This window comes from Homo sapiens, chromosome 4 (assembly GCF_000001405.40).
Source record: "Homo sapiens chromosome 4, GRCh38.p14 Primary Assembly".
Lineage (NCBI taxonomy): Eukaryota > Metazoa > Chordata > Mammalia > Primates > Hominidae > Homo > Homo sapiens.
In genome coordinates, this window is record NC_000004.12 from 75045457 (window position 1) to 75070211 (window position 24755).

Consider the following 24755-nt stretch of genomic DNA (forward strand, 5'->3'; position numbering starts at 1 on the left):
ATTATCCACCAAATTCTGCTTAACCCATATTGCCATTCAACTAAGGTGCTAATGAGACTCTGAGAACTTGTGCTCTAAGTGCTGGATTTAGATAATGGAGATGGGGATTTGGCTGACAGCTCAGTTGGATGACTTTGGGCACTTCAATTAACATCTCTGAGCCCCATTTTCCTTGTCAGAGAAACAAGTTTAAACTATACCTGCCCCATGGCCTTATTTTGAGGATCAAGTAAAAACTAAATATAGAAGCACTTTATAAATTATAAGACAATATAAATGTCAGGAGAGGTGGTGATAGCAACAGTGGTTGTGGTTGTGTCACCATTATTTCAGGGAAAATTAAGCCCAGAACCTAAGTCAGAATGTTAGGAATGCAAGCTTCCCTTTCCCATCTCTTCTTATTAAATTACTATGGAAATGGGGCCTCCTCTTCCTTCCCCAGCACTTGGGATCCAGAAGACAACAAGGACTCAGATGATGCCAACAGAACATGCCAGTCAGGATCCTAGCAGGAAGAGTTGTCATTGACAGGGTGTTTGGTAGACCGGGGCCTCCACGGTGGGTGGGTCTGCTGTCCTAGTGAGAGCGTCACAACTTTCCCTCTCCCTGGCCCCATAAGCATCCCCAGTTCAGTGCAGGGCATTACGCTGTCCTCAGATGGGCAACTTTTCCAAGTAATCACAACCCTCTTCTGTTTCTCCACCAGGCATTCCTCCTATGGAAGACTTTTGGACGACCATGACTACGGGTCCTGGGGAAACTACAACAACCCTCTGTACGATGACTCCTAACAATGGAATATGGCCTGGGATGAGGATTAACTGTTCTTTATTTATAAGTGCTTATCCAGTAGAATTAATAAGTACCTGATGCGCATTGAACGACAATCTTAAGCCCTGTTTTGTTGGTATGGTTGTTTTTGTTTTCCTCCCTCTCCTCTGGCTGCTACAACTTCCCCTTTCTGGTACAAGAAGAACCATTCTTTAAAGGTGAGTGGAGGCTGATTTGCAGCTGAAGTGGGCCAGCCTTGCACCAGCCAGGCCAGACCACCATGGTGAAGGCTTCTTTCCCCACTGCAGGACCCACTTTGAGAAGGACCGAGGAGGAGGATTTGGGTTGTTTTGTTAGGGGTTACTTTCAGGGGAACATTTCATTTGTGTTATTTCTTAAACTTCTATTTAGGAAATTACATTAAGTATTAATGAGGGGAAAGGAAATGAGCTCTACGAGGATTTCACCCTGCATGGGAGAGAGCAGGGTTTTCTCAGATTCCTTTTTAATCTCTATTTATCTGGTTGTTTCTGACAGGATGCTGCCTGCTTGGCTCTACAAGCTGGAAAGCAGCTTCTTAGCTGCCTAATTAATGAAAGATGAAAATAGGAAGTGCCCTGGAGGGGGCCAGCAGGTCACGGGGCAGAATCTCTCAGGTTGCTGTGGGATCTCAGTGTGCCCCTACCTGTTCTCCCCTCCAGGCCACCTGTCTCTGTAAAGGATGTCTGCTCTGTTCAAAAGGCAGCTGGGATCCCAGCCCACAAGTGATCAGCAGAGTTGCATTTCCAAAGAAAAAGGCTATGAGATGAGCTGAGTTATAGAGAGAAAGGGAGAGGCATGTACGGTGTGGGGAAGTGGAAGAGAAGCTGGCGGGGGAGAAGGAGGCTAACCTGCACTGAGTACTTCATTAGGACAAGTGAGAATCAGCTATTGATAATGGCCAGAGATATCCACAGCTTGGAGGAGCCCAGAGACCGTTTGCTTTATACCCACACAGCAACTGGTCCACTGCTTTACTGTCTGTTGGATAATGGCTGTAAAATGTTTAAAAACAAAACAAAACAAAAAAGAGGCACTAGTCTATCTGCAATTACTCAACGAGGCATTTTCATAGGAAACAGACTATGATTAATCCATTTATTCTTCCCACACACTTACCTTACTAAGTCTTTGCTTTAATAAATGAGCAACCCTGGGTATAGTCTTAAAATTCTGCACAATAAATTTTGAGAAAGAATTGTTCCTCTTTGTAGGTATCTGTGTATTGCAATCATTCTCAACCAGGAGGTGATTTTGCCCCCTGACTCCACCCCAGGGACATTCAAAAATGTCTGGTGACAGTTTTCATTGTCATGACTTGGGGGTGCTACTAGAAGCCAGGAATGCTGCCAAACATTCTACCATGCACAGCACAACCTACAACAGCAAAGAATCATCCACCCCAAAATATCAGTAGTGCCGAGATTGAGAAACCCTGATTTATCACAATGCCCACTGTGACAGAACAAGACACTCACAGATTAGTGATACGTTTTATTTTTAACAAAATGAAATGATGTGTTAAGTTTTTATTTCCAAAGTGTTTAGTTTATTGGCTGATGGGTTGTTCTTGGTATGCATGGTGACCTTTTTATTTCTGTGTGCTTCCTAGAGAGCTTTATTTCATGGCGACAACTCTGTCTTCTTGTAACAGCTGATATTAGCAAGCAGCATCTTATGTCCTGATTTCATATAGTAGAAAACAAACATTGGGTCCGACTTCAAAATGTGTTGTATTGTCCTACAGTGTCATAAAGAACCTGAAAATGAACTTTTGTTTCTAAAGTTGGACCTTGCTGCCATGACTGTTTAGTTTACAGAAACTTGACCCCGGCTCATCCTGTCTCTGGCTGTGGCCCGGCAAAGCACTGAAAACCCCTCTGGTCTCAGAGACAGTAGGGGCAGTGCCACTTTCTACAACCTGCCAACCCACACACTGGAGTAATTCTGAAAAAAATTATTCCTAAACTCTCTAAGTGTGGACGGAGAATGAGCAAGCCCCAGAAGTATTTTACAACCAGAGTGGGTAATGAGGAGGGGGCTTACTGGAATCGTCATATCTCTGAATATTGAAAACAACAACTAAAAAAGTGGACCTTCTCAGAAAAAAAGGGCAGCAAATGACCAAGGGCGCCCCTTCTGGCCGTGCTTGGCTTGAGTAACTGTCTCTCTTTCCCCACCCCCATCACAGGGCTTTCAGTTTGGCAAAGGAAAAGCAGATAAAAACAGAACATTCCATATGTTTCTTTCTCCATCGGCCAAAAACATTTTGACACAATGTTTGTGAAACACCTTTGGAGAGGTGCACTTCTGAATGCTGCCTCTGCCGTAAATCCTGGGGCAAGGGATCAGCCTCTTCCCAGGAACCATCGCCTTCTATAAACCGTGAACTCAAGCAGGCATTTTTTTTTTCTTACCGAAAGGCTGCTATTGTGCAAGGGCACATAATGGGTCTGTTGCTCTTATTGGCTTCCAAATGTGCATGGCAAAGAGAGAGATGTGGGCCTAGAGCAGATATATTCAGCAAGGTGACAGCTTCCCATAACAATTCTAACACTTCTTATCTTATGTGAGAATAAAATATTTAAGGGTTGAACCTTATTTTGCCAAATGTATCTTTTCTGCTTTTGAATTGGGCAGAAGATTTTAGCAACTATATTCTACAAATGTTACTTATAACACACACACACACATCTGAAATATATGCCGAAAATTGACGTCTTTGACCTCAGGGAGAGCACCTGTCCAGGTCTGCCTAAAGGAAATGGCTCCAGTGGGTCTAAACAACCACATCCTATCCATGGATAGGTCTAGTCATAACACTTTAGAGAGAATGTCAGAGCAGGAGGGAGGCAAGCCGCCTCTTCTCGGCCATCGACTGCAGATGATGAAAGAGCGGGATTCAACTTTGTTTTCTTTTCCTGTGGCCCCAGTGAAACCTCCTGCCCTCCCTGCACGTCTGTGTCTTCATTTCTAAAATGGGGGTGATGCTTTCATATTGACCTCACCCCATACTACCTCACAGATGTGTTGTGAGGATTAATAAAATTATGTCTATGGTATTTTCAGTTTCTGGAGAAAAATACTTATAGACAGTTTAACTATTACATAGATATATAAGTGATCTCAGTTTCTTGTTTGCTGTGATACTAATGTGTTGTTTTAACTTATTCCATAAAATGACAGTTGTGTCCTAGCCACATCAGACAGCTATCTAAGCTCTGGACTACCCCTTTGTGCAGCTGAATCACTGCAGGGTTGACCATGCCTGGTGCCACAGCCATGGTTTCCATTTCTAGATGAAAGGATGGCCTAGGACATAGGTCTCAAAGACTCTTGGATCAGAATCAGGAGATTAGGGAAAACAGGATGGATACCTGAGCACTAACAGCAGTAGACGTAGACCTCTGTCCTTTACCATCTGAGGTCTTCTGGATTCTTTGTGGGGTTAATTTTGATTTGATGTCATCTGTTTGCCCTTCATCTTGCTTGCAAGTGTGCATGGTTCAATCCCTCACATCCAGGAAATGAATTTTGCAATTGGGCCAGATGCTAATTTGCACGTTGATTCACCTTCTTTGCCTTTAAGCCTTTTTTTTCTTTTTTTTTTTTTTGGCAAATGAATGTACCATTTCAACTTTGATTTTAATAGTGCTAGTTGATATTGGTAATAATGCTAACCAAGAGATCAATGCCAGATTTTTCTCTTGGGGTAAGTTAGCTGAAGTCATTTAAAGATGGAAAGGTGGGAAAATTCTTTGATATTTGATGTCATTGTATCCACATTTGTTGTAAGACATATTGCATACCAATTATAATTATATCAATTAAAGTTGATAAAAGCTTCCATCTGTCTGTGGGTGATTCACATTTTGATATATTTTGTTATTCAAACCACTTGATTGATATGCTCAACACAACTCATATTAAGTAGTTTTGACTTGTTCTTAAAGAAAATGTATCCCACACCAGTAAATATTTTCTGCATAGCAGAAAGGTCTTTCTGACCTTGAAACGGAATTGAAGAATGTCAGAATTGAAGAAACTTGTCAAGAATTGAAGAATTGAAGAAACTTTTCAAGCAGTGATTTTACTCTCAAATATACTCTGGACCTTATAAAATAGATGTAAAAACAAACACTTTGATTCAATGAGTTGATAGCAATACATAATCAAGTCATATTAAAGTATATTGGCATTAGTAATACATTTGACATTTGCTTCACTCCCCTTTAAAAATTAAATTCAGCATACTCATCCTTATCTGACAGTTAAATAGCAGGCAATTTCAGTCATCCAAAATATAATTTCAAACCCCAAAAGCAAACTAAAGATGATTCTGATTCCAAAGAAAAGAGCAGCAGCAAAACCCATTCATTTTGTTCCATAGGAAAGGAATAGATCACCTGCAAGCTAGAACTTGTTGATTAGATGATGGATATAAACTTGAGGTCAGGTTTAATAGGTTTAGTTACTTGGTCAGATTTCATAAGTTTAGTTACTCGGCTCCCAGTGACATAGCATGGAGGATTGACTGGGAAGAGTCAAGATATGGAATGAGGATTGAGCATGAAACAGGCCCTATCCATTAATTATTTGGTCATTTCTCGAGGAGCATTTCGTGGGCACAAAAGCAACTAAAAACCCTATTATTTACTCCCCCAAAATTCAATAGCACTCTCCAATAGCTGACTATGTTTTGACTTCTGTCAGAAAGCACTGAATCATAAATGACCTTTAAAAGCACTGATCATGTTGGGAAAAACCTATAAGAGGCATGATGCCTTCCTTTAAAGGACCTAGTCTTTGGCAGATGTAGACTACATTTGCTGCACCAAAACACCATTAATCAGTTTGAGTCAACAAATATACTGAGTTTTTATCCTAAGCAAGATACACAATAATTACTACAAAAACAGAAGTATAATATTCTTTAGGAAACTTGGGTGTCTGTGAGCATTATCTAGTGTAATCCTTGCATCTGCTTTAGCGGTCATTACATTATCTCCATTTTACAGATGGGGAAACTGAAGTTCCAGAATATTAAATTTATTCATCCACATATTGAATCCTTCTATGTACTCTGTAATGAACAAGATAGTCCCTGTCCTCCAAGTATTTACAGTTTAGTAAGTGGAAGAGGTGGGGTTCAAACCATGTCCATCTGGCACCAGAGCCCTTCGTCTTTTACCACCCAAAGGACTGGTGTCCAATGTAAATCTAACCTGGGTCTTAAGACCCTCATACCTGCTGCTCATATGAGACCTTCTGCCCCTTGCAAAGTCCCTCTCAGCTATTTCAGGCAGTCTCAAGGGTGTCTAGCATGCAGTCCAGAGCAAGCCCAGTCAGCTCTTAAAGCACATATCCCCTGCCAGACACTGTCTCTGCTGACTCCCACATCTATGGCTGTGTTCTCTGCCAAAGGGGAGACTGCCTTCCCTCCTGTCCTGTCAGGACACCAGCACAGAGCCCCATTGTCTCACAGAATTTTGGTGAAAACCTCTCCTAATTTCAACTTGCAGCCTCCCTGCTCTTCCCAAGAATCAGATGTGAATTCATGGCAGCCTAGACTAGAGATGCTGCCCTCGGAGTCTCTCCCTGATCTTACCCTGAAATTCCATCACTGGGCCAACTTGTCTTTCCTCAGGGTAGTAATAATATTGACAGCTTATTCTCACATAGCACTTACTGTGAACTAGATACTGTTGTAAGAACTTTACATGGGTTAACATCCCTATGAGATAGATATTATTAACATCTCTATTGTACAGAAGAGAAAACTAAGGGCCAAAGAGGTAGAGAAAATTACCCAAGGTCACACAGCGGTGGGGCAGAATTGAAATAGGGACCATGGGTCTCCAGGGTCCATGCTCTGGACCACTCCCAAGCCAAATTTTCACTCCATGCCAGAGATTCTTGACATGTATGTGCTGCTGCCCATCAAACATGCCCAGCCAGGTGAGACAACCTGAAGCCAAAGTTGGGCATCCAATGCAGAAGCAGCTTTCTCCCTGAAGAAGGTTTCTAGAGTGGCCCAAAGGGCCTATTTTAAGGGCACCCACAACTGGGCAGCTCTGTGGTTGAGCCTTTACATATTCCTGTTCATCAGGATGGTGGCTTGGGATCTTTTGAAAGCAGTCGCACCCTCAGAACTGATGACCTGGCAGACTGTGAGTTGTCTCTGTCTACACCATGGCACTTCCAGTCAAAGTCACTCATCTGACAACCACCAACTTAACAGCAGGACACTCCAGGCTGACCCTTCCCTTGTCACCAGGTCCATACAGCAGCTGTAATGAGACAGTCTATACTACTGTCTTGTTCTCCCACTAGCCATTTCTCCCTCAGCATTTGGACAGAATTTGCTGCAACAAACACCACTGAGAAGAGTGTTGAAAAGTTCACATCAGTCATAAGCCAAGTGTTGTCAGGTAGTGTGAGACACAAATGCTCACTGCCAGCCACTGTGCCAAGACATTCAGAGGTTTGACATGAGAAACCAAAAAACTGCTCTGTGTATTTCTGGAATATATGTTAAAAGTTTTAATACAAAGTTGTGGATTTCATATAAAACTTAGTTTCTTATACGGACTTTGAGAGAGCAGGAGAAAAGATTAGGGAAACCACCAGTAGATAATCGCTAAAATGCCAGGGTTTCTGGAAAATGGCCACCATCTCAGGCTACAACGGTGAAGTGAATGGTTCTCAAGAGCTCACTGGAAAGTCACACCTGCCCACACACCTGATGCAACTGTTTCTGAAGAAGAATGGCTTTGCCTTTTTTCCATCTTCCATATCTTGCCTGAGAACCTCTCATAGACAAACTCTAGCCAGAGCCATAAGGGAAAGAGCATTCTGAGAAATGTAATTTCTGGCTTCTCCTCTGTATTACAAAGATCTTAGAAAAGGTGATAATGCTGAGCTAAAAATAAGCAAATAATCACAGGCCACCTCTGTTACCCCAAATGAGAACTTGGCAAAAAGTCAATAACAACAGTATGTTATCTGTAACATTATGCAACTGTTCCTTACACAACTGAGGATGCACACACCTTCTCCCTAAAAAGGAAGACACATCATTCCATATGTTGCTTTTATCTCTGGGAATGTTCATGCCTTTCCCAGTTCAGATGCAGTCTTCCTTTGATACCAAATTATAGGGTTAGTTACTTTAACTCACTTTATATTGGACAGAAGGGAATAAGGACAGAAAAAGAACTGATTTATACACACACACACATATACATATCAAAGCAAACAAGAGAATATGCATAGTTACTAAAGACTCCCTTTTACCCCTAGTCATATGACCATACTGGTATTTATAACTTTCTTCTTCCACTGATCATTGCATGTTCATCTTGTCCTCAGTCAACATTTCACTTCATCCTGGTTCTTTATGTGGCAGGGTGACTCAAAGCTGCCTTCAGAATACGGCTAACACTTGGGTACTAGAAAAGGAAAAGGGAGCTGCTAAACTGAATAATGTTTCTACCACTGAAAAGAAAGACCAGCTCACATTGCATGTAATGTTCCAAATACATTCCCCTTCCTATTTTCATTGTTTTTTTCCTCTCTCCTCCCCCATCCTTCCAGCCCTCCTCACCTACCCTTACCAAAAAGGTAAAGAAAAAGTGGAGGAGAAAATAGAGAAGGGATTCAGAACCATTCTCAGCCCTTGGCTTGATGCCTGAAGAGCCATGGACCATTCCATGCCCCGATCTGCCCACTAACTCCCCCCAGCTCTCCTATCTCTGCTTGAGCTCTTCTGAGAAGACCTATGCATCCTTCAGACAGCGAGGAGTTGATAAAAGACATGCCAGGAAGCGTGGGGGAGAGAAAGAACAAGGTTTTCTTAAATGTATTCACTTCCAACTTAGAAGTGCCATGAGCCATTTCATACACATTTCAGGCTGCAGATGCTTTTACTGAGCCACTGATAACAAGCTCTGGAGCTGATAAGCAATGAAATGAAATACACTTAACTTTTATAGGATGAGTAATCCTCAATGACAATTAATCTCACGTCCTTAGGCCCAGGGACTGTCTGACGGGTTGTCCCATCCTCCTTCTGAACATCCATTTCTGGAAAGGAGCCAAGTTCATCAAGCAGCTCTACTCAAGGGAACACAACCTGAGGCCTTTACCTGTCCCCTTCTAAGGGTTTCCAGTGTAACCTACCTGCTGGCTTCTCCTCCAAAGGGTGGAGAGGCTGGATTTCATGTCTGTCTCCTATAGGCCAGTTTCATTGCTTCATCTATGAGAGTTCAGGTAAATCCCTGAGCAAGAATTTGGGGCACTGACCATCTGAGCAATCCCAGGGGGCTGGCAGGTGGCTTTTCAGTAAAGAAAGGCACAAACATTCTTTCCTAGCCTCCTTGATCTCCTAGAAACTTAGGCAGCTGGTCCTTGAAAAGTAACAGACTCTCAATCTAACCATAGCCAAAACCATGAGCAAAGAAAAACTGGTAGACTGAAAATTCTGACAACTTTATATCCTTTTTCCTTTGGTTTCTCCTATAGAGAAGCATAGGCTTGAGACACTGGATGTAAGAAGACAGGTGGCAGTGGGAAATCCAGGCTGCTACCTGATTACAGGCCAATGGGAGTTGAAACCAACAAGGATGTGTTTGTTCACAGAGAGTCTCAATGTTTGCTCTCCTAAAAGCCCCATAGATTTCTCTAAGGAATGGCCTCTGATGGAAATTACAGTGTTGGAAGCAAAACATTCATTCACTCATCCCTTCAATCATTTAACAAACAGTATTCTTTTACACATTCCAGATACTTTCTTAGAAATTGCATATGATATTTAGGTGAAACAATAAAACAAGACATGACCTCTCAAAAACTCATCTTCAAAATGCTTTGAATCTGTTAATGAAACAGTCCAATCTAAGATTCTGTAGTGTATAATGGGCACCTTGGTAGAGCAATGTGCGGGGTACACCAGGAGCAAGAAGAGGATAAGGCCAAAGGATGTGAGAGCGTCCTGATAAGTGTTTCCTCTCTTCCTTATTTCCAGATGTCTCTCTGATTCTCGTGCCCCACCATCTGCCTGACTGACTTCCTGGGCCTGAACTTGTTCTCTGGGCTCTCCCTGTGAAGATCTATCCTTTGCCATCAGTCCCAGATTTCATCTGGGAATTTGATTTGTTCCTCCTAACTGACATGTTTGAACCAGGGGTATTGGCCTTTTCTAATCCTGGTCACACCCAGATCAACCCCTCTTCGAGTATCTGCCATGCCCAGCAATGCCACAACTGGAACTTGATATATAGTGTGTCTTTAACTGTGGAAAAAGAGAGAAAGTAGTCATCTTTCTTTATCTTGCCACACTGTCCTATGGTAATAATTCCCTAATGATATCCAAAGAGCTAAAGTGGTTTTCTTGACTATGTTCTCTGATGAAAGGTTGGAGAGGAGAAGAGAAATGACATTTGTTGAATACCTGTTACGTGCCTACACATGAGGAATTAAGATCTTTTCAGAGAGCAGAAAACTGAGGCTTAGAAAGGTTAAGTGACATTCCCATGGTTACACAGCTAGTAAGAGTCAGAGACTGAATTTTAACCCTGGACCTTCTTACTCCAAAATCCATGTTCTACCTAGGATGGAAATGCTTCTCAAACTCTAATGCGCATGCAAATTACTGGAGATCTTGTTAAAATGCAGATTCTAATTCATAGTTCTGAGGTGGAGTCTGAGACTTGCATTTGTAATAACCTCCCAGGTGGTGCTAATGCTGGGATACTGCCCCCAATTTTGAGAAGGGAGATAATACGTAAGACACACCTTCTACACATAAGCCTGGTAAATCCAAAAGGCCCCACAGGATGCAGTTCTCAATAGGGGTGATAACACCACATCTTCCCCCAGGGCAACAAAGTGTGGCAGCATCTCTTAGTTGTGTTTTTTAGTTGTTACTATGACTGGTGTAGTTACTGGCATTTAGTATCTGGGAGTCAAGGATGCTGCAAATGCTACAGAGAAAGAAATAGTCTAGGTTGATTTGTTCAGGACAGTCCTGCACAACCCGGAATTGTACCACCTACAATTTTTACAGCATCCCCATTAAGAAACCCAGAACAGTAACGTGGGGAGGTGCGCACCACTGTCAGCCACGAGCCCTTTGGCTGCCTTATTTCCATGACTTTTTCTCAGTCATTAGAAACTCAGGTCTGCCCTCCAGCTGTTCTGTTCCAAACTGTCATCATTGACAGCTGCTCTGCAGGATATCACTGCACACACATGAGTGCATGTTGATGTCTTGCTAACTGAAACTCCTAAGTGTCAACAGAAAAGATGATCCAAGGTGGGCCTAATCAGAGAGAGGTGTGTTCATATATTTCTGTGTGCCTTCCAAGAGTACAGGGATGCCACTATTACTTAAAAGTGGACATTTTAGTAAACCATGTAGGCCAGCTGAAAAATTTATATCATTTTGCATTCCATGAGAATTTCAAAGGGTATTTATTGAAAAGATAGGCAAAGTGCTCACATCTACTAAGCTTCTTCTCTATGTCAGGAACTGGGCAGGTTCTTTACAAATGTTATTGCTTTAGATACATAGCATAGTGTAGTCATCATAGACTTAGACTACGGTGGAGCTACTGTGTCGGGGTTTGAATCTCGGCTGAGCTAATTACCAGTTGTGTGACCCTGAAAAAAATTGTTTAACCTCTTGTTTCCTCAGTTTCTTCATCTGTAAAATGGGGATCAGAATGGCATCTGCCTTATTAGGCTGTTATGAAAGTTAAATGAATCAATGCCAACAGCATGCTTAGAATAGTACCTGGCACAGAGCAAATTTACAAATGTTGTTTCATTAGATCCACAGCATAATAAAATATTTCATTTAGAAATAATAAAGCATATTATTGCCAAATAAAATAGCCATGTAAGATAAATGATTTTCCTCATTTTACAGATGAGGAAACTGAGACATTCAAGTTGAACACAGCCACAGTGTAGTAGAATCTGATTAATCATAATGATAAAAGCTAATATTCACTGAGCACTTATTATGTGCCAGATACTATTCTAAGTGTTTTACCAAGATCAACTCAATCCTCACAATTACCCTAAAAGATAGGTATTTTATCCCCATTTTATTAATGACGGCACTGGCCTGTCTGGAGCAGCCCCTTGTGGGGATGCTAACTGCAGCCTGGGAGGCATGGCCGGGGCTGCGCTAGGAGGAGCTGGCAAGGCTGGGAACAGGCGGGGGCCCCACCCTTTATCCAGCTGGTGGGACAGGAGACCCGCATTCCCGGGCGCCGCCCAGCCATGGTTCTGGACCGAGGCATCACTGCGCTTTCCGGGGTCCAGGAAGTTCCCTCCCCCAACAGGCTTGAAAGTGCCTGCTCCCTCTCCTGGTGCCCATTCCGGGCTGGCGCAAAGTTGCGGCCAAGCCCAGGCAGGCACTGCTGCAACCTGGCTGGGTGTGCACGTGCTCAGGGCAGCACTGACACACTAGCCCCTGCCACCTCAGGCCCCTCTGGACTTTGGGCACCAACCAGCATGGGAGGGAGGATGAAGGAGTGCTGAGGGCTGCTTGGGGCGTGCCAGCACCCTTTGGCAGGAACAGCCTGGGCACCATGGATGGCCTATTGATGGCAGGAGGCAGACAGTTTCCTGGGCTGAAAAGGGTGGGTCCCTGGTGAAACCCCATCTTCAAGCCAGGGATGACCTGAGGCCTGGGGGCCGGACAGTTCCGGGTGAAGTCCCTGGCCAGGAGTGAGAATTTATGATACTTTTTCCAGGCCCACCCATGGTCGTCCATGAACCAATCAGCAAGCACTGCCTCCCTTCTGAGCGTATAAAAACCCTGGACTCAGCCAGCATCCAACAGATATCGGGACAACCTGCCTGCGGAAAGGAGCTACCCGCTCTACTGAGAGCTGGACACTCAATGGGACGACCTGCCTGTGGAAAGGAGTTACTCACTGTGGGTCTCCTGAGAGCTGTTCTGCCTCTCAATGAAGCTCCTCTCTGCTTTGTTCACCCTCCAGTTGTCTACATACCTCTTTCTTCCTGGACGCAGGACAAGAACTCAGGACCTGCCAAATGGCAGGACTGAAAGAGCCATAACACAAACAGAGCTGAAATACCCTTGCCACCTTACCACGCTGTGGGCAACAAGAAGGAGAGAAGAGCTGGGGCCCTTCAGGGAGCCCAGACCTAGGGGCTCCCTGAGTCAGGACTGTGACATCCTCTTTGAGGCCCTGCAGTTCCTGGCATCTCGAAGCTTCTAGGCACCAACACATTCCCCTCGTCCAGATGCAGGTGTCCACAGCAGAAGCTGCATGCTGTCCATCTGGTCCAGCCGCAGTCTTGCGCAGGGCTGACACCTGTGCTGGCGCCTGGAGCTGCCTGCCCTGCCGCAACAGCCAGCATGCCTGGCTGTGCACAGTGGCCAGACCACGCACTCACTCACCCGCACACTCTTTGCAGCTCCATGCCCAGCTCGCCCTTGGCAGGTGTGGGATCTGGGCCAGAAGAATAAGCCAAGCGCAGCCCACTAGGCTGAGTGGGTGGAACAAGCCCAGCAGGCCTGAGCAATGCTCAGGCAGAAGGTGCCACCAGCCACAGAGGTTTCCAGCTGGCAAAACAACACCCCAAGGATCCTGTGACATTACCATGTGAGGAAACTGAGGCACAACTAGGAAGTAAAAGTTACTCACCCAAGGTAACCTATTTGGTTAGTGGTGAATCAAGGATGATTTCAGCCCAAAGGTTTGACTCTGGAGCCTGAGTGCTATAGTTCCCAAGTCCATGCTTTATCCATCTCCTCACCTTCCAATTGCTCGTCTATTATGTACCCAGCCCTAAACTAGGCGTATTGTAGGATAAAACAAAGTAAAACTCACAATGTTTTTTGTTTGTTTGTTTTGAGACGGAGTCTCATTCTGTCCCCCAGGCTGGAGTGCAGTGGCTCCATCTCGGCTCACCGCAACCTCCGCCTCCCAGTTACAGCGATTCTCCTGCCTCAGCCGCACGAGTAGCTGGGATTACAGGCGCCCACCACCACGCCCGTCTAATTTTTTTGTATTTTTAGTAGAGACGGGGTTTCACCATGTTGGTCAGGTTGGTCGCAAATTCCTGACCTCCGGTAATCCACCCGCCTCGGCCTCCCAAATTGCTGGGATTACAGGCGTGAGCCACCGCGCCCAGCCTGGACTCACAATGTTTACTTTCAAGCTAATAACTTCATGCCACATCTTTATCTTCTTGTTGGATAGATTATTGGCAAATTGGCATGTGAACATAAACCTGCAATTAAGTCTCAGTTCTGCCAGTTACTGGCTTTAATGACTTTGGGCACATAATTCAGTCTCCCATAGCTTCTAATTCCTCACCTAAAAAACTACAGATGTTAAGTCTTATTTGGCAGTGTTGTTTATAAGGACTAAATAAGATCCTTTGTGTATAGTGCTCAACAAACATTAGCTGTCATTTTTCTTTTCCTTTCTCTGTGCCTCAGAAGGAATGAAAAACTGAAATTAGAAATGCAAATCTTGTTGACAAATTATTTACAATAAAGTTTCTGGATGACAGCTAAATTAGTTGAAGTTTTATAAATTTGAGTTTTGTTCCTAAAAACCCATTTCGCTTAATTAAAACGCCAAATAATCATGAAAAGAAAAACCCCCACACTTTGTGTACACACTTTGATAAAAATATATTTAGTATGTAAAACCAAACACATGATATAAATCTACATTTGAAAATGTCTGTGATGAGGGAGGATATAGGCTAATTGTTTAGCTCCTGAAAATGAAAGCCCAGTGGACTAAAGAGGCCTTCTTTTCCTGGTAGGTTTCTAAGTAGTCAGAATCAGCAATTCTCTTTGCTCCAGGGACCTAAAAATGTTCAATATTTGGATTGTCTGGGGCAAAATTTTCCACTGATAAGCCAGTGAAGATGAATGGTCATTTCTAAGGGAGGAGTTTTCCAGGTGACTTCTCTTACAGAGATCTCCTGTTTCCTTTTCAAAAATTAAGCACCCATCTTGAACAGTAGCTTTCATTTGCAAAGACTTCAGCTAACTTCTCTATATCAACCCTTTCAGCTTGCCCTAAAATCTGATAATTTGACAATCAGTTCTCTTTTGGAATGTTCAAAGCATCTTTCACTCCATTTACCATGTTTTTGTGATGTTTTCACAAGCTCTGTATGTAAGAGTTTTAAAAAGAGATAATTACTGCCCTTGCCGAAATTTATAGCTTAGTTGAAGGGCATGTTCTTTAGCCAATCATGAATCCATATCATCACAATTTTTCCACCTCTCAAATTAGCACATCACATTGTCTTATCACTAATTATTTGCATTGACTTTATTCTGAGAGCACATCAGTTTCAGCTGTTAGGTAATCATAAATAAAAATTTGTTCTTGATAAGCCTATAAAGATGAAAGTTCTCAAGTTAAGCCATCCTAAGTCAAGTGGTGCCTGTTTCCAAATATACCATTAATTACATATGATGTCTTTGCTCAAAATGAGTACTCTGGCCTGTTAACTAATCCTACTAACATCACTTCTCTTAGAGCTAGGAAAAAATTCTGGTCTCAATTGAGTTATTTGGTAATTCCATGTCCTAGAGATGAAGTTCTTTGCATAATCAAGTTTTTAAATGTCAGCAGTAGTTTGGAGTGATATAAAAGTGTTTCTGACTTTTGAAAAGACTTCCAAATATCCTTAAGTCTGTGTAATCTTTTCTAAGAAGTCAAAAGAAGACTGAAGTTTTTTGTCAGTCTGAAGAGGGTCCCAATACAGGGTCATGAATACTGAGTGTTATGTCTGCACATTTAGTCCTGAAATATGTAATCCTACATCCAGAGTAAATAGCCCAGCCTTGGAAAAGTTGAAGTCACAAGCTCAAAAAGCTTAAACAAGCAAAAGGAGTAATGAAGTATGTTTATTGCTCTTTAATAAAAAACCTATTTACATTTAGCATATTTTCAACCCAATATTCTACCCAATTTTATTAATAGGCCTTTCTAGGAATTTGGGAGATTGAAGAATAGAATAGTGTCTTAAACCCTGACAGTAAACAAGATCAGCATGCTTCAAAATCCTCTGCTGTGCACCACATAAAAGAAGTAGGAAAGGTGGAAAAGAAACAGTTATTGGTATGGATGACATTAAAAGGCCAGGTCCAGAAATATTCATGCCTGCAGACATTTTATGAGAGAAAAAGTATAACTAGTAAATGAATATGTAAGAATATTTTCAACCTTGGTAGTAATTTTTTAAATTCTAAATAAAACTGATATACCATTTTTGCATAGTAAAATTAGACAACAAAAAACACATTTCCAACTTTAAAAATCAAGGTATCCAATGCCAGACATGCTTTAATAAAATGATTATTTTTTCTAGTGGAATATAAGTTGGCAAAAACCTCTCACAGATCAGAAACCTGAGGATCATTCTCCAAAACGGAGATCTGTGTGCAGGAGGCTTATTGGAAAGTGAATTTGGGATCAGCACCTGAAAGGGAGAGAAAGAAGCAGGATTGGGCAGAGGGCAAGCTGGAACTGCAGTACAGTTGCAGCAAAGGTCTCAGCCAATCCTGTGAGGACCTCTGAGTCTGAGGTGCCCCTTCAGCTTTGTCTTAAGTTGATGAGTATTACAGGTTCACATGTCTCCTCACCCCACGGGGACATAAATTCAGGCAAGACAGCTCTCTCCACTCCATAGCAAGTCCCAGAAAGGAAGTTCAGCTGAGACTATCTGCCACCAACCCTCCTGCCAGCTGGGGGGATTAACAAACAGACCTGGAAGGGGATCTGGGTGGCACACCATGACCTCCACTGTAGACAACTTTGGCACCATTTAGTTCCACTTGTTTCATGTAATAAATTCTGGGAAAACTCCAGTATTCTGGGGGACTCTTACAAGAGAAAGGTTAATGCGAGAAACTACCATTCCTGTCACTGCAGCTATCTCAAGGAAGTAACAGACAGTCATCTTCCCTGTCCTCCACCGCCAATGCTGGAGTCTCTTTTCCCTCAACTAGCATCTCTGCTGGTATAGGCAGCTAGGCTGCTGATGTGATAGACTCCTAGGGTCGCCATTGTCAACTCACTGGTCACCATGACCTTCTTAGGGCATGATGGCTGTGTTTGTTCATTTACCATCAAAACTGGGCGAAGGGTTGCCAAGAGCAAACTAAGTGGATCACCTGAGTGCCAAATATATCATTCTCTGCTCCTATATTGCTCAGCAGCAGCTGATGGTCAGGGTCAATTATTCCTGCCAGTATGGCAATTACTTTCTTTGCCTACTGGTCTCTTGGGACAAGGTCTTTGAAGTAACTGAGCAGCAGTTCTTACCTTAAAAATATCTTTCTGTGTTCCTTGGTGAAACGATTTACCCTCTAAAAACCAAGGCCACTAAAATGTCAGAACCCAGAGTTGCAGAGAAGGGAAGCACACAATTTCCCTAAGGGGGCCACTAGGGCTGACTGTAACAGGGTCACTGCTACTTTCACCTCTTGCTTTCCAGATCTATATATTCTATGTTTTGAAAACACTATATGTGTAACATGATATGTGTATGGATTTAGGGTGTATACTACATCCTAGAGGATGGTGTCCCATCTGCACAAGACATCCTTTCCCAGATAGTATGTCAGCTGGGCCTTTGACAGACTGCTTTACTCAGTCCAGTAGCCTCTAGGTGGTGGGGTATTTGATAGGACCAGTGGATACCATGGCCATGTGCCCCTGCCGCACCTCCTTTGCTATATAATGGGCATCTTGGCCCATTGCAGTTTTATGTGGGATCCCATGCTATAGCTCAAACTCTCTCTCAGCCCTTGGTTAATGGCACTGGATGAAGCCCTGCAGACAGAAAAGGCAAACCCATATCTGGAATAGGTGTCAAATCCAGTGCAGAAGGGGTCTCACAGCCTATACTTACTGCGGATCCTTTTCTGTCCTGAGCCCCACACAAAGTTGGAAGTCTTATGTGTCACCCAGTATATGGGTTGAAGCAATATTCTTAGGTGCATAATATGCTGCCTCTATAAATCAAAGATGCCTGCCAGGCATTGTGTTCCTCCCTGGTAATGGGAAGCATAAGATTCAATAATATTCCCCTAACTTTGGAGAGAATATTCAGGGTGCCTCAGACTATTAGGCCAAAAATCTCATTAATCTTGTGAGCCCCTGAATTTTCTTAGTGTTTATCTCTCACCCTCTAGAACATCTTGTGTTAAATTTTCTGTTGTTACACAAAGAATTACCACAAACTTAGCAGCTTAAAACAACACGCATATCCTACTTCCCAGTTCTGTAGGTCAGAAGTCCAGGCAGGCTCAACTGGGTTCTCTGTTTAAGATCTCACAAGGCCAAAGTCAGGGTGTTGGCTGCATATCATCTAGTTCACCATCATTAAAATGTTCAGCAACTGCACCACCATCACACGCCTCAGGCTATCTGTGTTCTGCCTTCCATCAGTAGATTTCACTTGCTGCCCAACTTTTTGAATAATGCGTTGAACATAAAACACTAGGTAACCACTATGTATATTTACAACTTTCACTATTCCCTCTAAAATTAAGACCTATGGCCTGCTTGACCACCAACTATCCCATGTAAATAAAACAGTGAGTGATTTCACATTTCAGTGGAATCTCTTTGACCTGATATAAACATGTCTGGTTCTTCTTCAGTACTAATCTCCATGTATGTTTCCTATATACATCATGATTTACAAAGTTATTCCTAACTAAAAGAACACAAATCTCCTATATCATGGGTTTTCAGGAATAGATAACACAAAAAAAAATCAAGCAATTTTCCTTCATATATAACTTGACAAATGTCAGGGGCTAATTTAAAACTCTGAATCTCTGTGGTTTTATACAACTGCCAAGTAAAATATTTACCATTATTATGCTATCATGATAATAGTTGCTTCTTCACATTACATTTCATTGATGCTGAGCAATGCACAATGGAGCCAATTCATAAAGGAATTTTACCAATAGTCTTCAAACATATTTATCATTAACTTTGTGACCAATTTTATAAGATTCTTGTGATTTGTGTAATAAGTACTAATTTTTTGTCATAAGCAATACTACTTTATTCTTCCATTTTGGTCTCTTCACCTTTAGCAATATAATTTATTGGTATTGTACTAGAAATCATCATTTTGTGCTTTTCCTTGGGAAACAAATTAGTTTGCTGTGGAGGTCATTTGTGGAAGAAACTGTTAGTTGACTGTAAAATGCCCATATTCCCCTTCCTCCTTAGTATCAGAACCTCAAATTTAGGATGGACACTGTGATGCTCAGATGGAAGACTACCAGCCCACCTTCCTTACAGCTAGGATTGTTATGTGACTACATCCTGGTATGAGATATAAATAGATGTGTTTATGTTAGGACTTACAGGAAGCCTTCTTGAAGGAGAATGGGTGCACCCATTCTTACTTCTTCCTGCTGGCTACAGTAAGAGTGTGTTGCCTGGAACTCCAGCAGCCATCTTTGATGATGAATTAAAGGTAAGAAAGAAGCCATACACTAAGAAGGTGGAACAAAGAGTAAAGAGCCTGGGTTCTGATGACACCATGGTGCCACTATACCAACCCCAGACTGCCTAACCCCAGACTTCTTCGAGAAAGAGAAATGAATCTCAAGTCATTGTTATTTTGGAGTTATTTCTTATATGCAGCTGAAATTATCCCCAATGAGTGTATTATTAAACTTTGTTTGAAAAAGAGTACAATGACTCCATGCCATTTTTTCCAAAGGACAATACACTATAAGGGAAAATTAAATTGTCAGTCCAGTAACACTCAAATTCAGGTATTTATTGTTATGCTTTCTAATAATATATTTTTTCTTGTGTAAAATCATTATTCCCATGGAGTTACTTGTCCCAGTTCATGGAATTTCACAGTGCCTATTATTATAATTATGTTTATACATCAATAAACCCTTTTAAGGCTTTGAGTCACTTTGACAACATCAGGATATCATGCAACAACCAAAATAACAAATAACAAATATAAATAACAACACCAATGGTAAAACACAATGCTAGAGAGGAGCTGAGAAAAATTACTCAACTTGTCAGATTTTCTCTGCAAAATTGTGAAAACCTCATCTCCAGTTTAGGTGCAACTAGAGATGGTTTAGTTTCTCTGGATGAAGAGCTTGTGAATGTCACAACTGTAAAGCAAAGAGTAACTGATGTGAGGGTTCAAATGTGTCAAGCATGAAGTATGAATGACATTGATTAAGATGTTAGGCATAAATTGGGGCACTAAGATAACATCCATATATTTTTAAATCAGTAATATCAGGTAATACCCATTTCTTAAGTTTTGGCATGAATTGACTTTGGGGTTAAAGTTCAGAGAAAACAGTTGTGGACAGATAGAGGAAGGTAGAATGGCCATCTGGCTGAGGAAATGACAGTGAGGACTGGAGGGTTAGACTCCCACACCCCACAGACCCTACTTCCTTCTGACTTTCAAAACCATCCTCAAACAAAGTGGCTTTACAGGCAGCTTTCATGTAAGAGTTTGTGAGGAGCCTCGGCTACTTGTACATTCATTTGCCCTAAGCCCTGCAGAGCTGCTCAAATGTATTGTGTTATCTCTGTGGCTCTCCATGTTTCCCACCAAGATCTGAAGAAAATGTCACCTGCTCCAGCATTCCTTACATGGCAAATTGAGATTGGGAAAGGGGGAATGCCTAAATGTTTAAAGAAACCTTGATTTTTTCATCTATTCTGGTTCCTTATGGGGCCTGAGACAAAATCTGTGTGTGTCTGGTGAAGTAATTCCAAACTCTTTGAAATTCAAACCTAACATGAACATGGTAATGAAGATGAACCAGATGTCAGCAGAAATAGCTGACCCACATGGTGTTTTGACAGAAGCAACACTTTTAGAACATTTTTGTTTGTTAAGAATGTAACAGAATTTCTCCAAAGCCTATAATTAATCTTGTATTGCAAATATGTGAAATAAATATAGAGAAAATGGTCATTGCTGTTTCCTGTAAAATCATCACACTTTCTGATGACGTCTTGATAAACTGCTAGGACAACCAAAGGTCTCAGGAGTCCTTGCAGAGCTCCTGGGCCTCTGAAGCAGAAACGTCACAGTGAGTTTATAGCAGAAGAACCAGGAAGTTCTGAAAACACCATTTTGATGTGAAAGATTGATAAGAAGAGGCCCTGGTAATAGATGCTGGCAAAGCTGTGAAGAAAAGGGTATTCTTATGCACTGCTGGTGGGAATGTAAGTTGGTTCAGCCACTGTGGAAAGCATTTTGGAGATTTCTCAAAGAGCTTAAAAAAGAACTACCTTTTTATCTGACCCAGCAATCCCATTATTGGGCATATACCCAAAGGAATATAAATCATTCTACCAAAAAGATACAAGCACTCGAATGCTCATCGCAGCACTATTCACAACAGCAAGGACATTAAAACAACCTAGGTGACCATCAACTGAGGATTGGATAAAGAAAATGTGGTACATATACACCATGGAATACTACACAGCCATTAAAAGGATGAAATCATGTATATCAGCAACATGGATGTAGCTGGAGACTGTAATCCTAAGCAAATTAACACAGGAACAGAAAACCAAATACCGCATGTTCCTGCTTATAGGTGGGAGCAAAACATTGAATACACAGGGACATAAAGATGGGAACAATAGACATCAGGGACTACTGGAGGGGGAGGGATGGAGAGAAAGGAGTTGAAACTGCCTATTTGGTACTATGTTCACTATCTGGGTGACTGGATTCATATCCCAAACATCAGCATCACCCAATATACCAATGTAACAAACCTGCACATGTACCTCCTGTATCTAAAAGTTGAAAATATTTAAAAGAAAATATAGGCAGCAGCTGGTAACATTTATTGAGCACAAACCATATGCCAGGAACTGTTCTAAGCACTCCACATTAATTAATGTAGATAATATTCAGAATAAGCCTTTGAAGTGAAGACTATCATTATCCCCATTTAGTAGGTGAGGAGACAGAAGCAAAGAAGTAGAACTTCACACGGCGAGAGGCAGTGCTGAGATATACAGATGCTGTGACTGAGGGCCCAAAGCCTAACCCATTCTGCTCTATTGCTTTTTAAATGCATGTTCAAGGTAAGCACCAGCAGGTAGAAAAGAAGGGAAAGAAGGAAAGAAGAGAAGACTTCTGCAGTCCCCAGATCTTGCCTACACACCTTTTTCCTTCTGTACCCCTCAAATTTACATCCGCCAGAGCCTCAGAATGGAAATACAATCTACTTGGAAATAGGATCTTTGAAGATGTAATTAGTTAAGGTAAGGTCACACTGGATCAGTGTGAGCCCTTATAAGAAGGAAATTCGAACACAGATACACAGGGGAGAAGGCTGTGTGAGACGGGGCATCAAGAAGTCCAGGAAAGCCAAGGATTGCCAGCAAACTGCCAAGGCGGTAGGAAAGTGGCATGGAGCAGATTCTCCCTTGAGCTCACAGGAGCAACCAACTTTGCTGGCATCTTGGTTTGAGACTCTGGCCTCTGGATCTGTAAGAAAATTAATTTCTGTTGTTTTAAGTCACAAAAAAAAAAGAAAGAAAGAAAGAAAAAGAAGGGTACCTGACATCCAGTGCTTGGCACTCAAACAAACTATGTCTAAAACTAGAGTATCATATGCAAATTCATCTGAAGATCGCAGCAGCCTGTGTGCAAGTCCTAGGCAACATGAGCATAGTAACTGAGCTGTAAATGACAGCTGCCTAGGAGAGAGGACTACATATTTTTAAAAATAAAGCCTGTTGGCCAGGCACAATGGCTCATGCCTGTAATCCCAGCATTTTGGGAGGCTGAGGTGGGTGGAACATGAGGTCAGGAGATCGAGACCATCCTGGCCAATATGGTGAAACCCTGTCTCTACTAAAATTACAAAAATTAGCTGGGCGTGGTGGCACGCACCTGTAATCGCAGCTACTCGGGAGGCTGAGGCAGGAGAATTGCTTGAACCTGGGAGGTGAAGGTTGCAGTGAGCCAAGATCGAGCCAGTGCACTCCAGCCTGGCGACAGAGCGAGACTCCGTCTAATAAATAAATAAATAAAAATAAAGCTTGTTGTGCTTTGTGTACTTTTATGATCTCTGACCTCTGCTTTATTCCCAACTCCAAGGAGACTTACTCTGAATGTTCAGAAAAAAAAAATTCTGTGGAGCATAGCTTTATGACTGCCCCTGGGCTAAAGGAAGAAGGATGTGTTGTGGGGCCTTCAGTTATTCCATCTTGGAAAGTATAAGGGTCAGGACCGCCTCCACCCAACCCCTACCCCAACCCATTACCGGCTAGGAGGTTTAAGCCATCTTCTTGGGCATGGGCTGCAGAACCAGGGGGGTGAATTAAAGGCCACAAACAAAGCTGCTGCATCTGGTCACTCACAGACAGTACCCTGCACAGCTGCCAGATACTCTTCCCAGTGTCCACAGTGCAAACAGCACTCTCTGAGGTTGTGCAGTGTGGTGGCCCTGGCCCAAAAGTCCCCACCAGTCTACCCCAGTGCCCAATTTTCAATACTCTAGAGCCTTTTCAATAACAGTTGATGTTGAAACACTTAGCCAAGTATAAAGAACTCTGCAAATCTAAGATATTTGGGGGAGTATGGTACTATTTCCAGTAGTTAATGTATCAATGTGTTACCTAGGGGGACTAAATTATTAATATATTAATTCATTTTAATAAGTTGATCAAATGACATGATATACTTAAAAGCACTTAGCAAACTTTAAAGAAGCTCTACAAATGTAAGACACTCTAATGATGACAGTAATTGTCTGGGTAAAAATATAATTTAATAAACAAAGGAGCCCCAGAAGAATAAGATGAAAATAGGAAGTATAATCTAAATGTTTGTGTCTTTCCCAAATTCCTGTGTTGAAATTCTCACCTGCAAGGTGGTACTATTAGGAGGTGGGGTCTTTGGGAGGTTAGTAGGTTATGGGGGTGGAGCCCTCAGGAATGGGATTAGTGCTGTTTTAAAAAGAGACCTCAGAAAGATCCTTCATTTCTTCCACCATGTGAGGACACAAACAAGACTGACACCTATGAGGAGGTGAGCCCACACCAGACACCAAACTTGCCAGTGCCTTGACCTGAAACTTCTCAGCCTTCAGAACTATGAAAAATAAATTTCTGTTGATTATAAGCCATCTGGTCTATGGTATTTTGTGTAGTAGTCTGAACTGACTAAGACAGCAGGTAAGGTTCAATGGGAGAAAGAGTCCTGCTGAGCCATGGTGTAGCATGAAAGTGGGCGGAGCAACCACAGACAGCAAAAGGTCCCATGTGCCTGGGTGCAAAGGGGTGAGAGGGTCCCCAGGGGATCAATGGAGACGCTAAAAATAGACCTCACCACCTTAGCGATTTACCTGTTTGCTATCACAGACATTCCATTTTGGTTGCTATCTTCTCCTCTATCTATTCTTGTTAGGTTTCAGTTTGTTAAAATAAGAACTAAGCTTCTCAGTTCACTCAACCAGAACTGTTAAAAGATTAATTCAGCCCTCAGATCTCGAGTTTCCTCTATTGGGAATAAACATACACTGCCCACTTTCTCTGCTTAATGAACTCTTAGAAGGCTGACCACTGAGGGCATCCCCTCTAGTTTTCTTCTCATGATTTTTGTTCTCACCTCCCCAAGAACTGGCCACATTCTCCTCCAGAGACCAAAGTCATCTTACTATTGTACTCTCCCCTTTTCCGAAACCCGCTAGATTTTAAATTCTTTGAGAGCAATGTCAGCGTCTCCTTCCTCTTTCCTTCCCACATACTTAACAAGGCAGAAGATTAATGCTTTTAACCTACACTAAAATATTGAAGTAATCAGTGTCACAGTTGTGCTATTAGCCTCAAGTAAGGAAGCAAATTTTATTAAGAAAAATGTAAGGAACAAACCGT

The 24755-nt window shown here is 42.2% G+C and overlaps 1 protein-coding gene and 1 long non-coding RNA gene across 3 annotated transcripts in view; one reads left to right on the plus strand and one right to left on the minus strand.

The window, feature by feature from the left end:
* PARM1 (prostate androgen-regulated mucin-like protein 1) overlaps positions 1-4657 on the plus strand; it is a 116998-nt gene extending 112341 nt beyond the window's left edge. For both annotated transcript variants that reach the window (XM_011531833.1, NM_015393.4), the window contains one exon: positions 707-4657. In XM_011531833.1, the coding sequence (XP_011530135.1) occupies positions 707-791 (85 nt within the window). In that variant the 3' untranslated portion in view covers positions 792-4657. The remainder of the gene's footprint in view (positions 1-706) is intronic.
* Positions 1-24755, minus strand: part of LOC107986289 (uncharacterized) — a 37189-nt gene that overhangs the window by 8402 nt on the left and 4032 nt on the right. The window lies entirely within an intron of this gene.